Below are 15722 nucleotides of genomic sequence, written 5' to 3'. Positions count from 1 at the left end.
AAGAGGACTGGCGTAGGCTGGACCTCTCTGTGTGGCACGAGGACTGGCGTAGGCCGGACCTCTCTGTGTGGCACGAGGACTGGCGTAGGCCGGACCTCTCTGTGTGGCACGAGGACTGGCGTAGGCCGGACCTCTCTGTGTGGCACGAGGACTGGCGTAGGCCGGACCTCTCTGTGTGGCACGAGGACTGGCGTAGGCCGGACCTCTCTGTGTGGCACGAGGACTGGCGTAGGCCGGACCTCTCTGTGTGGCACGAGGACTGGCGTGTGTGTGGCGCACCCCGGGTCCTGTGCAGAAGTTGGGCAACCTGCCCTCCTCCGTCGCCTGGACCCGCGGCAATGTTCAGGCCCATTTCTTCCCGCTTCAATCTGCTACGTGGCCTGTAAATTGCCCGAGGGGGCTGGAGCTGAGATGAAACGGAGGCCAGGAGGCTCAGAGGAAGGGCGGGCCGATGAGCCAGGTGCCAGTGTCCTCACGGCCTCCAGGGAGAAGACGCCCTCGGGTGAATCCAGTGCTGATGGGGTCGGTCAGGGGACTGTGATGCCTCATGCCGCCTTAGCCACTGTGCCCCTCACGTCTCTGCTGGTGAATGGTGACCCTCTGGTGGCCAAAGCGTCCAGGGGGACTGCCCGCCAGAACCAGGATGGGAAGGTGGCCAGGACCTGCTCAGATGGGCACAGGCTGGCTGCCTTCGGGATCCTCCGGGGTTCCAGTGCCAACTCTGAGTGAACTGGGACAGCAGGGGGACCCTTCAACAGCCCGCACTGGCGCTGACCACCCACCGCTGTTCCATCCCCCACTGCTTCGGCCCCAGCATTTCCAGCCCTGCTTTCCAGGACATGCACGGTGACCACTTGAGCTCTTTATTGTTGGAGGACATTTCCATGCACATGGGACGTGCCGACATACGTGGGGACACTGGCACGCAGTTCACGGCACAGCCCCCACTCCCGCCCTGGACTCCTCTGCTCACCTCTGCACCAGGGACAAGGCAGGTGCAGGGAGAGGAGGCCCAATCTCGCAGACAGCCACACTGGGGGTGGGGGGTAGGTGGGGGCTGCTGTTGGCTCCCCCGCCCCCAGCCTCAGCTGGGCGTCCAGTTCTGGGTTGTCCAGCGACGCCCTCTGGGTGCCAGAGTCCAGCCCTAGCTGGGGTCCCAGCAGGGTTCAGAAGGGGCTCTCAGCCAATCTAGGGAGGCCACCAGCCAAGGGGGTCTCCGCAGATGAATCCTGGCTGCCACCACCCCTCCCAAACTGCAGCTCCTTGCTGGGAGGGCCGTGGCCGGGCGAAGATGAGGCCCTGTGGTTGCTGGTGTTCCGCTCCTCCCATAGCACTTTGCCCAGGCGCCAGCGGTGCCAACGCCGCCGCAGCTCCGACTGCACCTGGGGAGGGGGACGGGGCAGGCCAGTCCTAGGGCCTGCCTGTCCTCTCCACCCCACCGGGACCTGCTGTGGGCCTCATCGGAGATGCCCAGTCTCCGCTCTGAGGGGTGCAGAGCGACACAAGCTCCCTGCTGGGCACAGCTATGCCACCCAGCATCGCCACGGAAAGCAGTCTGCAGACACCTGGGGACCCCCACGGTGGACACCGTAGCGATGGGGCTGAGGCCAACCTGTCCTGGGGGCCTGACACCCAGCGCCATGGCAACTGCACCCAATAAGAGCAGGGGGAGGGAAAGGCTTGGGCCCCACGTGTTCCAACCCCCGGGCAGGGGTGGGGCTGGCATCCCTGTGCCTCTCTCTGCCCCTGACCCCGACGGCCAGTGCTGATGGTCTCAGATGCCCCCACTCCCACCTACCTCCTTGTTGAGGAAGCAGTAGAGGACAGCCACCAGCAGGCCCTGGAGAGACAGGGTGGTCAGGGGTGGCACACTGCGCCCCGGGCGGGGGAGCCGGCGGGCGGGCGGGCACCTGGAAGGAGCTGAGGAAGAGGTCGAAGAAGAGCTTGGCGGAGCGCAGGGTGCCCTGGGCGTGCTCGTCCGTCACGAAGGCGAAGACCACTTCGTGGACGCCCAGCAGAGGGATGAGGGTCAGCGTGGACTTGGCCAGCCTGCAGAGGCAGCGCCTGAGTCACCCACCGCCCCCACCCTCGGCCCGCACCATCCACGTGGAGCTTGGAGTCCCCACCCCCAGCTGCCCTCTGGCCCTGAGGGTCTCCAGGTCTCGAGACGCCAGCTGCCGCGGCACCCACCGGAACTTGTAGTCTGTGTGGTGCATCTGCCGTGCCCGCAGCTTGGCCACGAGCAGCTGAACGATGCGGACGAAGATGAAGAAGTTGATCTGTGTGAGAAGGGTGCGAGTCAGGGGCATCCCGAGCCCCAGGGAACAGCTCTGTGCCCTTGGAAGGCCCCACCTGACCCTCCTGCAGGTGGGCCTGGCAGCAAGATAGGCCCTGGGCCACATAGCCCTGGGGCTGGTGGGCACACAGCCAGGGAGGAACAGCCTGGCTCAGTGTCCAGGGTGCTGGCCAGTGTCCTGGTGTCCTGTCTGGGTGCCGGCTCCCTCCCAGCGCTCTCAGACAGGATGCTGCTGTCTCCTGGGGCAGCCTCAGGACGCCAAGGGAGGAGGGGCCTGGGGTGCGCTCCTGGCTCTTCATTTCCTCACCAGGATGGCCAGGAAGACGGGGAACCGCAGGATCCACCAGAAGCCCATGTTGTCATTGCTGGTCCAGCACCTGCGAGGCCAGGCCACTCACATACTGGGGCACAGCCCCCAGCCCCTCCGCCCCTCAGCACCCCCGTCCCGATTTTGCCAGGATCTAATTCGGGTCTCAGAAAAGGAAGGGAGAAGGTCACAAATGACCCCCTCCCCAGGCACCAGGCTCATCCCCGGCCCCTCCCTGCCTCAGGCCAGAGCGCCGCACCCCAGCCCCCCGGTCCCTCCCCAGGCTGTCCAGCCGCTCATACTCACTGGACGTTCTCGAACAGACACTTGACCACTGCCCAGGGGACGACGAACAGCATGGGGGCACCTGTGGGGGGCAGCAGCTGTGGTCCCAAAGGCTTGGTCAGCCTGCCTTAACCCCCTCTCATGCCAGCCCACTCACCCCAGCCGATGCCCAGGTAGAGGCTGAAGAAGCTCCTCTCGGGGAGGGTGGCCAGGCCCAGCAGGTTGTGCAGGTACAGGCCCTCCACCAGCAGCCAGCAGTAGTTGGCCACGATGCCATATTGCATGAACACCGCGGCCACACGGCAGCCAGCCACCGCCTGGTACAGGTGCAGTGTGAGCGCGGCTACGTGGCCACCTGCCTGGCTGCCCACCCACCCACCTGCCTGGGGCCGCCGAGGGGGGCTCACTCCATCACTGAGCCAGGTGCTGACACTGAGGTCGTCGCCAATTTTCTGGCTGTAGCGGGTCCTGAGCAGCCCATCAATGACCAGCACGGAGCTGGCTTTCAGCACGAAGGACGCAAACAGATTCGCGTGGATGGCATTGCGGGTGCAGTGCAGCTTGCTGTGGGCACAGCCAGTCAGCGCCCGTCCTCCTCCCTGTCCTCTGCGGCCGCCCCGGGCGCTGGCGGAATCCTACCTGAGGCCCCCCAGGATGGCCAAGGCGAGGAGCAGGGCCCCCAGGGACAGGCTGTAGCCCACTGTGTACATCACCTGGAAGCTGCTGTACATCTTGGCCACCTCCTTCTGCGAGTTACAGTGGCCTGTGAGGGCCAGGCAGGGGCCCCCATGCCCGTTCCCATCCAGCCCCACCGCGCCTGCCTGCCGCCCACTGACCTGGACCTCAATCTCCTCGCCATCCATCTGGCACTGGGAGGCATCACGCCAAGGCTGCCCCCGGGGTCCACGCACCCACTGACCGTCGGGCCCGCATCTCTTGAACACGAAGCGGTGTTGCACTGGGGGTGTGGGGGGAGGCTGGGGTCAGCCCCACCCTGGGCCCGCCCCCCCCACAGTTCCTCCCCTCTATGGGTACCTTTGTGGTGCCAAGGCAGGTACCAGGGGCAGGAGATGTTGGCCGTGGTATTGGCGGGGGTGTCCGGCCAGCAGGAATACTTGTCGAAGGTTCTGTTGCACACCAGCTCTGCAGGGTAGGGTAGGGCAGGGCAGAGCAGGGCAGGGCAGGGTGGGAGAAGGGGCTCCCTCAGCAGGCCTCTCTCCTCTCTCTGGAAGCCTGAGCTCGGCCGTCACCTCGCCCAGGACATGGCCTGGGCTGCTCCCTCCCCCACTTGACCTCCACCTCCCCCATCTGACCTCCACCTTCCTCACCTGACCATCCACCTCCCCTGGACCAGCCTCCGCTAGCACGCCCAGCCCAGCCCTGAATTGCAGCTCTGCAGGACACCTTCCCTTGGAGACCCCCCATCTCAAATGTGCCCCAAACCCACACTGGGGTCCCCCATTCTCCGTGACCTTCTCTCAGCACCTCCCTCTCTGGGGGCTGAACCCCAATGCCATTTTCATCCTTCCCAGGTGCATCGCCAAACCTGTGGCTGCCACATCTGCTCCCTCTGCCCAATGGAGGCTGCCACACCTGCCCCCCTCTGCCCAGTGGTGGCTGCCTCCCTCATCCGAACCCAGGCACTGCCTCCCGGGTGAGTCCTCCAGCCCTATCCTCTCCCTGCACCCCAAGTGTCCAGGCCATGATATACACTCTCCACCCGAGCCCTCCCAGGCCCCTGGGTCCCAGCTTCCACGCCCTGGCACTGTCTGCCCACTGAAAACTCCACGGGGCTGTAGGTGGTATTACCCATCTGGGCCTGGGGGCAGCAGCAGCAGCCGGTTCTGGGGCAATGCCACCGTTCTGTTATTTCCTGGCTCTGCGGCCTGAGGCAAGTCCCCAGCTCTGTGGCTCAGTTACCTCGTTACCTCACCTGCCCACGGTGGTGGGGGCCTGAGGAATGACAGGGCCCCTTGGCGGGGTCCTCAAAGGCTGCATAAGCACCCAGGAACCTTCCCATGAAGAGAACTCAGGAAGTGCTGAGGCCAGGCACAGGCTGAAAGGCTCTGGGTGGGGGGCTCACCCGTGGGAGGGGGCAGCAGGCTCAGGTTGTGGTGACACTGGTCACCGTAGAGCTTCCACTTCTCAAACAGGAAGTCCATCACCTGAGCGGAGGGGACCTGTGGCTGGGGGACACATGCACAAGCAACCAGACAGACAGACAGACAGGCAGGCAGACAGACAGGCAGACAGACAGGCAGACAGGCAGGCAGGTAGATGGATAGGCAGATGGACAGACAGGCAGACAGACAGGCAGACAGGCAGACAGACAGGCAGGCAGACGGACAGACAGATAGGCAGGCAGATGGATAGGCAGATGGACAGACGGACAGACAGGCAGACGGACAGGCAGACAGACAGGCAGACGGGCAGACAGGCAGACAGGCAGGCAGACAGGCAGGCAGACGGACAGGCAGACGGACAGGCAGGCAGACAGGCAGGCAGACAGACAGGCAGGCAGGCAGACGGACAGGCAGACGGACAGGCAGGCAGACGGACAGGCAGACAGGCAGACGGACAGACAGGCAGCAGACAGACAGGCAGGCAGGCAGGCCGACAGACAGGCAGGCAGATGGATAGGCAGATGGACAGATGGACAGGCAGACAGACAGGCAGACGGACAGGCAGACAGGCAGGCAGATGGATAGGCAGATGGACAGATGGACAGACAGACGGACAGGCAGACAGACAGGCAGATGGGCAGGCAGACGGGCAGACAGACAGACAGGCAGGCAGACAGGCAGGCAGGCAGGCAGGCAGACAGAGAGCCATCAGTGTGCAGTCCTCACAGGAGGGCCCCTGGGTGCTGAGGGTGCTGTGAGTCCTCACCTGGCAGGCCAGCAGCAGCAGCAACAGCAGCAGGGGTCGCTGTGGCTGGCAGGGGGGCATGCCTCTGGGCAGCTAGCTGCCTCCCACATCTGGCAGGGGCTGCACAGCTGGGGCAATGCAGTCCTGGTGGGTGTGTACGCTCCTCCGAGGGCAGCTGAGTGGCAGAGCAGCAGAGCCTGGGGCGTCCTGGCCAGTGGGGTGTCCTCCCCTGAAGCTGCCCCTCTGAGCCTCAGGGTCCTAGGGATAAAGAGGGAGCTGGGGGCCGGGCGCGGCGGCTCACGCCTGTAATCCCAGAACTTTGGGAGGCCGAGGGGGGTGGATCACGAGGTCTGGAGATCGAGACCATCCTGGCTAACACAGTGAAACCCCGTCTCTACTAAAAATACAAAAAATTAGCCAGGCGTGGTGGCGGGCGTCTGTAGTCCCAGCTACTCGGGAGCTTGAGGCAGGAGAATGGCGTGAACCCGGGAGGCAGAGCTTGCAGTGAGCGGAGATCAAGCCATTGCAGTCCAGCCTGGGTGACAGAGCGAGACTCCGTCTCAAAAAAAAAAAAAAAAAAAAAGAGGGCGATAGGAGGGAGGAGACCCCAGGAGGAGTCACTCTTGCCACCCAGGGCTGGCTGGCTGGCAGCTCTGAGGGTCGCAGAGCCCCTCGTCTCATTGCTGGTGGCAGCCACCTTCCTGCAGGTTGACCCAATGCTCTTGGGTGGGGGACCAGCCTCCCCAGATGGTGACCTCCTCCCTCAGTTGACAGCCCCCGGCTGCTTCCTCACCATCCTCCTCACCTATTCTTAGCCCCTGGGAAAGCTGGCTTGCCAGGCTGACCTGAGCCAATGTGCCAAGCGTGAGGGTGGCGGTGCCTGGACCTTCCATCACTTGGCCCCAGTGCCACAGCGAGCAAAGTGGCTGGGCTGGCTTGCAGCTGTGCCAGGCCAAGTGTGTGGGGCCCACACTCAGGGGTCTGTGTCACATGTGTGCCCCCTGCCCAGCACCGGGGTGCCTAGGTGCCTCGTGGGTGCCGTGCAAGGCTCGGTTGGGCTTCCTGGATCCCATGGGACGCCACAGGCTGGCTGCACAGTCCTTTGAGGTTAGCACTGCGGGCGTCGACTTGGAGGAGGAGCTGGCCTAGGGTGGGGGCACAGGGTGGGGAGGACATCCCCCGTGGTGCCTGCCAGGGCTGTGGGAGTCACAGCCCCTGGTCCCCATGCCACAGCCAGCATCTGAGCTGGGAGTTCGGGGTGGCAACAGCTACACAAATCGGCCTTTCGTTGCTACAGAGCCCAGTTTCTGCACCAACTGAATTCTGTGGGAGAAGCAGGGAGGGTCTTCCTGTGGGTCCACGTGCATGTGCGGGGTCCCGCGAGTGGCTGGCTATGAGCCCCCGGGCTGTTACGGGCTCTTCTTTGGGGCACCCTCAAATGGAATAAGAGGTGTGGATGGATGGCTGGGCAGATGGAGGGCCAGCCAGCTGGAAGGCAGTGCCAGGGGGAAGCCGGGGAGAGGGGCAAGGAGATGGGCGAAGGCTGCAGCTGGAGCAGAGGGTTTCCGGGCAGGCCTGGACTGCTGGCTGCCACGGGACAGCCTGGATTTTAGCCTCCTCCAGGTAGCGGCTGGGTGAGCCCGCGTGGGGCCAGCTCCACCCAGGGCTGCCCCGCTAACGGGGCCTGAGATGCCCCAAGCAGTGTGACAGCTGAATGACAGGGACAGGCACCTGCGTCACAGACTGCTAAAGAGCTCCCAACCGCAGCCCTTGGACCCTGGGCTCATGTAGGGGCCGATGGGAGGCAGGACCCGTGTGTCGCTGATCCCCAGTTCCTGAGCCAGGTGAGCAGCCATGCAGGCTTGGTGCTGGGGCGAAGGACCCACAGAGTAGGGGCCTCTCCCTGGCGGAGACAGCGGCAGGCGGGTGGGGGAGGAGGGGCAGTTTTGGCGTCCCCAGCTCTGGGGTCACGCAAGGGGCCTTATCTTCCCTGATCCTGATCAAACAGCCCCATCTACTGCCACTGTCCTGGGCGGCTCCGGCCACTGAGCCGGGCTGGGTGAGGAGCAGCAGGAGCCGCCTCTCCCCACTGTGTGCACCCCCAACCCAGAGGGGCCCTGGACGAGGGGCACTGCTAGGTGGGCAGGCTCAGGGGTGCAGGGGAGACCTGGGGCTCTGGGCAGGGGACGGGGAGAGGGACAAGGGGCAGCTGGAGCAGGGTGGATGGTGGAGATGCAGGCGGGGGACAAGGAGGAAGGACACTGGCCAATGAGCTGTTCCCTGCCTGGGCGCCTCGAAGTGGGGGTGGGGGGGGACGCGTGCTCACCCTGGGGGGAGGACCACCCAGCCAGGAGCTCCCTGGGCAAAATGACAGCCCCTTAGAGCCCAGCGTGGCCAAGCCTGGCTCTGCCCCAACTCTGCCAGAGAAACAGGAGCCATTCGATGCCTGTCATGTTGACTCTAGAGCCACTGGGAGCACCCCCCAAGCCAGTGCCTCCACACATGAGGTCCTCGCGTGCCAGGGCCCCACCTTCCAGCCGGGCAGCCAGTCTGGAGACCCCAGCGAGCCGAGGGAGGGGTTGGCTGCCCAGTCCCCCAGGCCTTTCTTTGAAACAGTCAGGACCCAGGAGTGGGGCTCTGTGTCCCCTCAGCCTCAACAGAAGGTTGGGAAGGTGGGGCTGGGGATCCTGGAGGATTCCCCCGACAGCTCAGCATCCACAGGCCACAGGTGGGCTCCCCATAGGGCACCCCTAGTCCCGGATCCCTAGGGGTCAGGGCCTCTGAATACAAGAGGTGAGGTGGGAGGCAATTCTCCACTGGGTCTCTGATAGTGAGGCAGGAGGTGCAGAAGTGTGAGCGTCCTCCGTTCCCTGCGGGTGGTGGGTCCCATATGGGTAGGGAGACTCCAGCTCCTCACCCCAACAGGGGTGGGTGGAGCCGGGGGGGGACCAATTTCCAGCTGAGCACCCATGAGAGAGCCTGGCCTGGAGAGCAGGGCTGAGGCTGCTGTGGTCCTGGGACGGGGACGACGATTTAACTTCCCAAGTGGGGACCCTGCCCCATCACTGAAGGTGACACCAGCCTGAAGGGAAGAAGGGAGGCTCCTCTGTTGATCTCACCCAGCCCTCTCCCCCGAGAGGAGACACTGACACCCCCGGGCCCCGGTCAGCCCAGGATCAATGTTTGTTGACTGAAGGAGTGGACAGAAACTCCCAGCTGTGGAGCTGCCACTCGGGGCTCCCCGGGGCCACAGTGCTCCGTATTACCCTTCCGGCGACACAGCTGGTAGGTGGGACGACCCACCAGGGACCCCACCCTCCACCTTCACAGTCCAGGTGACCAAGCTCCTTCTCAGGCCTTGGAGTCAGCTGAGAATTAGGGGAGGGGTTCCCAAGGTGCCCAATAGGGGGGGTTCCCGAGGTGCCCAATGTGGGGGTTCCCGAGGTGCCCAATAGGGGGGTTCCCGAGGTGCCCAATGGGAGGGTTCCCGAGGTGCCCAATGCGGGGGTTCCCGAGGTGCCCAATGTGGGGGGTTCCCGAGGTGCCCAATGGGAGGGTTCCCGAGGTGCCCAATGTGGGGGGTTCCCGAGGTGCCCAATGGGGGGGCTCCCGAGGTGCCCTGCCCGCCTTCTCTAGACCCCCACCGCATGCCACCCCCTTCCTCCCTCCCACAGCTGCCTGCCGGGCCACACCAGCCACCACCAGGGCTTAGGGCCACCTGAGCTCCACTGCCCCGGCCGCTTTGCAGGGCTGGCACCCCGTGTCCTGTCCCATGTCCTCCCTGGCAGAACACGTGACTCTTGGGCGCTCCTGGCTGCGTCAGGCTCCACCGATTCCCACTGGGGGCGGCTGAGGGACCCGCAGACCTGGAGCTGGGCCCCCAGGATGGGTGGAGCGGCCACTGGTCCAGGAAGGCAGCGGGGCTCCCAGGGCGTCCGCAAGGGGCCTCTCAGACGCTTTGAGGAGCTCCGGGATGGGAGCCGGGATGTTTTTGTGAAACCAGAGAAGGTAGTGGAAGGTCAGGGCACCGGGGCGGGATCAGGGGCCACAGGCTGTTGACAAAGCCCTATCCCTGCGCCCTCACCCCGTGGGGGCGGGGCAGGCGTGGGTGCACCCAGACCCCCCAACCCTGATGTCCCCAATACCAAGGGCAGAGAGCAGCCCTGGCCGGTCCTTGGAGGATGCGGGCGCCGAGGGGGCCGGGGTCAGTCGGTTCAGAGTCGGAGCATAAGCCCGGTGGCCGAGTCGGCCGGGTGGTGGGGCGCCGGGGGGGCCGGAGCCGGGCAGGGCAGTGACCCGCTTGCCGGGGTCAAAGTCGCCAGTGTGGGCCGCGGAAGAGGAGCGGCCAGGCGGGGCGCAGACACCCCTCACCCCATCCTGGGCCGCGCCGGTGCCACCGGGCAGTCCTCGGGGCAGGAGCCCACCGAGGGGAGACAGCGCTGGTGAGACCCCGCGCCTCGGGGACGCGTCCGCGGCGCTTTGTGCGCTCCCCAGGGCGGCGGGGCCCGGGGCCCTGAGTGGGGAGTGTGGCCGCTGCAGTGTGGCCGCCGCAGGGCGCCAGGCGGCCAGCGACACCCCCGCCCCCAGCCGCGCCCCCCAGGACCAGAGAACGGGGGAGGGGCTGAGACCCCTGGACCTGCCCGACGGTGCAGGACCGGGTGGTGTCCGAGCCGGGGTTGGGAACGGGGGTGTCTGACGGGACTGAGGAGCGCACCAGCCCGGACCCCGGAGACCGCCCGGCCGGCTCCCCGCTCCCCGCGCCCCCGGCCCCGCCGCGCCCGCCCCGCGGTCTCTGTCCCCACCGGGTCGACTCCCCAACGTCCCCTCGGGGCCGCGGCCCAGGTGCTCACCGCGCGGCGCTGCTCGGGGGTCGGCTTGGCTCCCCGCCGTCCTCTGGGCGCGCTCGGGTCGGGCGCCGGTGACCGCTCGTCTTCGCGGCGCTGCCAGATCGGGGTCGGTGCAAACTTTCCGGCGGCGACGCAGGGCGAGGGCGGCGGCGGAGGGCGGGCTCGGGGGCGGCCCCGCGGGGGTGGGAGCGGCAGCCGAGGGTCCCCGCCCGCCCTCCGCGCAGCCTCCCGGCGAGCTTCGGTCCTGCCCACCCTGCGCAGGGAGCGCCTCGTACCCCGGCCATACGCAGACTCGGCGCGCTGAATTCCACCCCGCGGACCCGCGCCCCACAGACCTTTGTCCCACGGGTCCTGGTTCCGCAGACCCTAATCCTGCAGACCCCTGAGCCCGCGGACCCTGGCCCAGCAGGTGGTGGTCGCGGTGGGTCCCAGCTCCGGGAGGGGACGCCCTGGGACGCGGAGGGGCGCGCGGGCGTGGGGGCCGTGGCTCAGCCCCCCTTCCTCTCGCTCCCTCCGCCTCCCTGGGCGCCCCCTCGCCCCCTTCCTCTCGCGTCCCCGGGTTCTCGCCCCTTCTTTCCTGATGCCTGCCTGATTTTCTGGAAAGACCGACACCCCCAGTCGCCCCCACCGCGGCTCCCGGTTCCTTCCCCTGCAGAGCAGACGGGGGCTGGAGTAGGGGCCAACATGGGTGACATGGGTGGACCGGCAGGGCGGTCCCTGGGGTGCCCTTTAACTCTTTCTGTGCCACATCCCCGGTCTCTGGCCAGTCCTGTCGCGCTAAGGCCCCTCCAGCAGCGCTGACCCTGGTCCCCCACCTGCTGGTCCTGCGGCCGCGGGGCGCTCTCTCCTCCGTCCCACCCGCTCCTTCCACACCACCTCCTTTCCTGGGAGTGGAGAAGCCCCAGCCAGAACCCCTGCCTTCCCCAAGAGGCACGCTCAGAGGGACATTCTCCCCTTCCTCACTCCCCCTAGAGCCACATCACACCTGGCTTTGGGGCCCTAGAACCTCAGCCCGCGCCCCTCCCCTTCCACCCCCAGCCATCCCTGCTCTGTGCCCAGTGATCTTGGGGTCACCACAACCCCATGGCGCCTTGAGGCCTCACCTTTCCTGGCCTCTCAGCATCCTGGGACACTGATGGTCATGCCTTCCTTCTAGAAAGTTCTCTCCGAGGCTGTGGCTTCCAGGATGAGCACTCTCCTCCTCCCACTTCCTCCCCTTCTCCTTCCCCCTCCTCCCTTCTCCCTGGAGAGGTCTTCCTCCAAGTCCCAGTCTTCTTCCCCACCCAGAGCCCCTCCCGCTGACACTTGTCTGCAGTGCCTGTCTCCGCTCCCGCTAGGAAGCCTCCCCTCCGGCATCTCCAATCCATCTCTGGGTCCTGCTCCACCTGCATTTCCCTAGACCTGTCCTGGCCACCCTCACCCTGGGACACCTCCTGCCCGTGGAGAGCTCCTCTGATAGGTGCCGTCCTTGGTCTTGGGGGTCCTTTCTCCCTAATTCTACTTCTGTTTTGGGGGCGTGGGAACCCAGGGTCTTAACCCCAGCCATTCCCCCTCCCAGGGGCCACTTCCCTCTGAAGCTTAGCCCAGCTCTGTGACCCCCACAGGCCTGCCCCCACCTGGTCCTCACTCCCCTGCATAGCCACACTGTGGGGGCTCCATGCTTCCCAGCCCATAGGAAGCCCTGTTCCCAGAGGGGGCCATTCTGTTTTAGTTGGAGCAGTGGCCAGAGGCAAAGGTCAGAAGGCAAAGGTCATAAAAGTTTGTCTCTACCTGCCAGCATCTGCTCCTGCTACTGCATCTTCTCCCCTCTCCACCCAAACCCTCCCTCAGCTCCTGCCCCCACCTCTCCAGAGGCACAGACAACAGGGTTCTGATCTTGGGTCATGGTGCTCCCCCTGCCAGCCTCAGTCCGAGACCTCTGTGAATGGCGGTGATGGCTAATGGGATGAGGGGGACCACCTCCTGGTGGCTGCAGGGACTGGGGTGAGGGTGCTGTAGGCTCTGCCTAAGTCAAGTGCCATGGGGCTGAAGAGACGGCGCACCGGCCCTGGAGAAGAGTCCTCCCTGCCCTCCTGTGTCTGGCCTTGTTTCCTGGAGGACAGGTCCCCACGGGGCAGAGGCCCAGCAGTCCCAGGTAAGCGCTGGGTGGCCGGAGTCTGGTACCTGCAGGAAGAGAAGTAGAAGAATAAATTTGGAGTGTGTGAAGGGGGCAAAGCCTGAAAGGTTCGGACTCAGTGTGGGGAGGGAGAGGGAACAGATGGGGTGGGGCACCTCCCCTGGGCTGGGTGACCCTTATTTATATGACTGAATCCATGACAAGATTGTTTGCTTGACCAAACTGTAGTCCGGCTTCAGAACCTTCTCACAGGCTCATCTGCATTCTGCCTTATAAAATCCAGATTCAGCAAGAACTCTGCTAAGTCAGTTTGGCAAGAAGCCTCCATCCCCCCATATCTGATCAGGGTCCTCAGCCTCCGCCACCCCCAGGCGATGTCTGCTTACCTTGCCTGCCTTCAGCAAGCTTCCTTTTACCTGGGTAGGGTCCTCAGCTTCCACCACCCCCAGGCGACGTCTGCTCACCCTGGCTGCCCGCAGCAAGATTCCTGTTATCTGGGTAGAGTCCTCAGCCTCCGCCACCCCCAGGCGATGTCTGCTCACCTTGCCTGCCTTAAGCAAGATTCCTGTTACCTGGGTAGAGTCCTCAGCCTCTGCTACCCACAGGCAATGTCTGCTCACCCTGCCTGCCTTCAGCAGGCTTCCTTTTACCTGGGTAGGGTCCTCAGTTTCCGCCACCCCCAGGCAATATCTGCTCACCCTGGCTGCCTTCAGCAAGCTTCATTTTACCTTGGTAGGTTCCTTAGCCTCTGCCACCTCCAGGCCGTGTCTGCTAACCCTGTCTGCCGTCAGCAAGCTTCGTTTTACCTGGGTAGGTTCCTTAGCCTCTGCCACCTCCAGGCCGTGTCTGCTAACCCTGTCTGCCGTCAGCAAGCTTCATTTTACCTGGGTAGGGTTCTCAGCCTCCGCCACCCCCAGGCGATGTCTGCTAACCCTGCCTGCCCTCAGCAAGCTTCCTGTTTCCTGGGTTTAGCCAGAATCCTCCAGACAGGTGTTTCGTGCCAGTAATTTTCCACCCACTGACCCCGCCCTGCTCCTCAGATCTAAATCCCCACTTGCCTGTGCCACATTGAGAGTTGAGCCCAGGTCTATACTAAAATCTTTTTTCCCCTATTACAATAGTCCCGAACAAAATATGTGTTTCAACTGCTATCCAGTTCTGGTTTCCCTTGACATTGGTGAGACATATAAACAGAGGGCAGCTGGGAATGGAGGGGGCAGGGCCTTCCCAAGCAGCAGTGGGGGTGGGGGGACCTGCCCTCCATCCAGTCCCCAGGGTCCTACTCATTGCAGGGGGCCCTCCTGGAGGTGTGCTTGGTCCTGGGGCGGGCTGCAGCGGGGCTGGGGGCAGGTCTGCACCCCCCACCCCTGAGATGTGGGTTTGTCTATCTGTGCTGGGGATTCTGGAGACGGCACCTGCAGAACTTAATTTCGGTGTCCAGCAAGACTTATGGAGCCCATACTGCCAGCGAGACTCAGAAGCCCCACCCTGGAGTTCTGCAAGGGGCTGATGAGGAGGAGGGATGAAAGCGACAGCCGGAAGCCAAGGCGGAGGGACCAGGGGTGGGAGGGGAGGCTGCATCTGGGCCCAGAAAAACGTGGAAATGCAGGAAGGGAAACAGGAGGGTGGTGGGGCTGCCCCTCGGAGAGACCTTCTGTGAGCATTAAAGGGCATTTTTTTTCCAGGTGTCTTTACTGTGCATTAATACATTTTTACTTTGATATAGTTTTGTAACCAGCGTTTCTCACCACAACCTATAACACAAGCATTTCCTCACATTAATAAGAAGGCCCCTCCACATCACTACCCAGGGGCACTTAGTATTTGAGGGTGTGGGATGGTCAGGTTTTACTCAACCACTGCAGGACTAAGAAAGGCACAAACCTTACGACAAAGCGAATGGACCTCCGCACTGCATCCTAGCGCCTTTTGCCCTTAGATGTGAATGCAAAGCAAGACCTCTAGGTATATGAGACAGACCAATCACTTGGGAAAGAGGAAACTGGAGGAAACAGAGCTACTGCAGGGAACAGAAGAAAACTTCAAGAACATTTTAACCACTCTGATTATCCTTAGAGACATGAAAGGATGATGCTCCCATAAAAACTAGAACGGAATGCTTTGGAAAACAAGCAGAGCGCAGGAAGAGTCCTTGCCGGCTGCAAATAGAATATCTGGAATTTAAAAAATTTAATAGAAGGGTTGGAAAATTGAGTTGAAGAAATCTCTCAGAAGAAACAACAAAAAGGCTGGGTGTGGTGGCTCATGCCTGTAATCTCAGCACTTTGGGAGGCCAAGGCGGGCTGATCACCTGAGGTCGGGAGTTTGAGATCAGCCCGACCAACACGGAGAAACCCTGTCTCTACTAAAAATACAAAATTCGCCAGGCATGGTAGCACATGCCTGTAATCCCAGCTACTTGGGAGGCTGAGGCAGGCAAATTGCTTGAACCCAGGAGGCGAAGGTTGCAGTGAGCCAAGGTTGTGCCATTGCACTCCAGCCTGGGCAACAAGAATGAAACTCCATCTCAAAAAAAAAAAAAGAAAAGAAAAAGAAGAAGAAAAAGAAAAGAAACAACAAAAATCCAAGAGGAATAAAAGATAACAGAGCATGGAGGGTTCACTAGAAGGTTGAGGCTGGGCGCAGTGGCTCACGCCTGTAATCCCAACACTTTTGGAGGCCGAGGCCAGTGGATCACTTGAGGTCAGGAGTTCGAGACCAGCCTGGTCAACATGGTGAAACCCCATCTCTACTAAAAAATACAAAAATTAACTGGGCGTGGTGGTGGGCTCCTGTAGTCCCAGCTACTTGGGAGGCTGAGACACAAGAATCACTTGAACCATAGGAGTGCTGAGCAATTTGACTTCTGAATTATTGCTCCTGGGGAGCTTAGAGTAAGTGGGGGATTGGGAACAGGGAGAATGTGAGGGCTATTTTCTAAAGCATATTAGCAGTGTCTCGTTTTCACTGAGAACACCCAATTAGGAGGGCCAAGTAAGAATC

General features: G+C 63.2%; 1 protein-coding gene and 1 long non-coding RNA gene across 12 annotated transcripts, besides 1 other annotated feature; one reads left to right on the top strand and one right to left on the bottom strand.

Annotated features, from left to right (window-relative positions):
• Positions 848-10706, bottom strand: GCGR (glucagon receptor). 4 transcript variants are annotated; one of them, NM_000160.5, is made up of 14 exons: positions 10607-10706; positions 5778-6014; positions 4972-5074; positions 3924-4031; positions 3725-3846; positions 3528-3634; positions 3296-3452; positions 3046-3205; positions 2910-2970; positions 2604-2673; positions 2191-2279; positions 1911-2049; positions 1799-1840; positions 848-1382 (listed from the first exon to the last, which is right to left on the bottom strand). In NM_000160.5, the coding sequence occupies exons 2-14, from the start codon at positions 5835-5837 to the stop codon at positions 1167-1169; spliced, it is 1434 nt and encodes a 477-aa protein (NP_000151.1). In that variant the 5' UTR covers positions 5838-6014; positions 10607-10706; the 3' UTR covers positions 848-1166. The 4 variants fall into 4 exon arrangements, with proteins under 4 accessions (NP_000151.1, XP_016879935.1, XP_006722340.1 ...); XM_017024446.2 differs by having other exon boundaries at positions 4972-5068; XM_006722277.2 differs by lacking the exon at positions 10607-10706 and adding an exon at positions 9623-9706.
• On the top strand, positions 10111-14403 carry LOC105376789 (uncharacterized). 8 transcript variants are annotated; one of them, XR_001753045.3, is made up of 5 exons: positions 10133-10198; positions 10865-12062; positions 12506-13529; positions 13841-13896; positions 14128-14403. It is a non-coding gene; the product is annotated as an uncharacterized LOC105376789 (long non-coding RNA). The 8 variants fall into 8 exon arrangements; XR_001753048.3 differs by having other exon boundaries at positions 10865-12737; positions 13456-13529; XR_001753047.3 differs by having other exon boundaries at positions 10865-12737; positions 13144-13529.
• Positions 10738-11237: an enhancer, noted in NCBI's record as "H3K4me1 hESC enhancer chr17:79761495-79761994 (GRCh37/hg19 assembly coordinates)". NCBI's record gives its function as "activates a minimal SCP1, AML or CMV promoter by ChIP-STARR-seq in naive H9 embryonic stem cells {active_cell/tissue: H9 hESC(naive)}" and the evidence as "EXISTENCE:reporter gene assay evidence [ECO:0000049][PMID:30033119]".
• Positions 14404-15722: the final 1319 nt, after the last annotated feature.

The sequence above is a fragment of the Homo sapiens genome, chromosome 17, assembly GCF_000001405.40.
Source record: "Homo sapiens chromosome 17, GRCh38.p14 Primary Assembly".
NCBI classification, from domain to species: Eukaryota; Metazoa; Chordata; class Mammalia; order Primates; family Hominidae; genus Homo; species Homo sapiens.
Note: the sequence above shows the minus strand (reverse complement) of the source record. Positions and strands in the feature narration are given on the sequence as shown.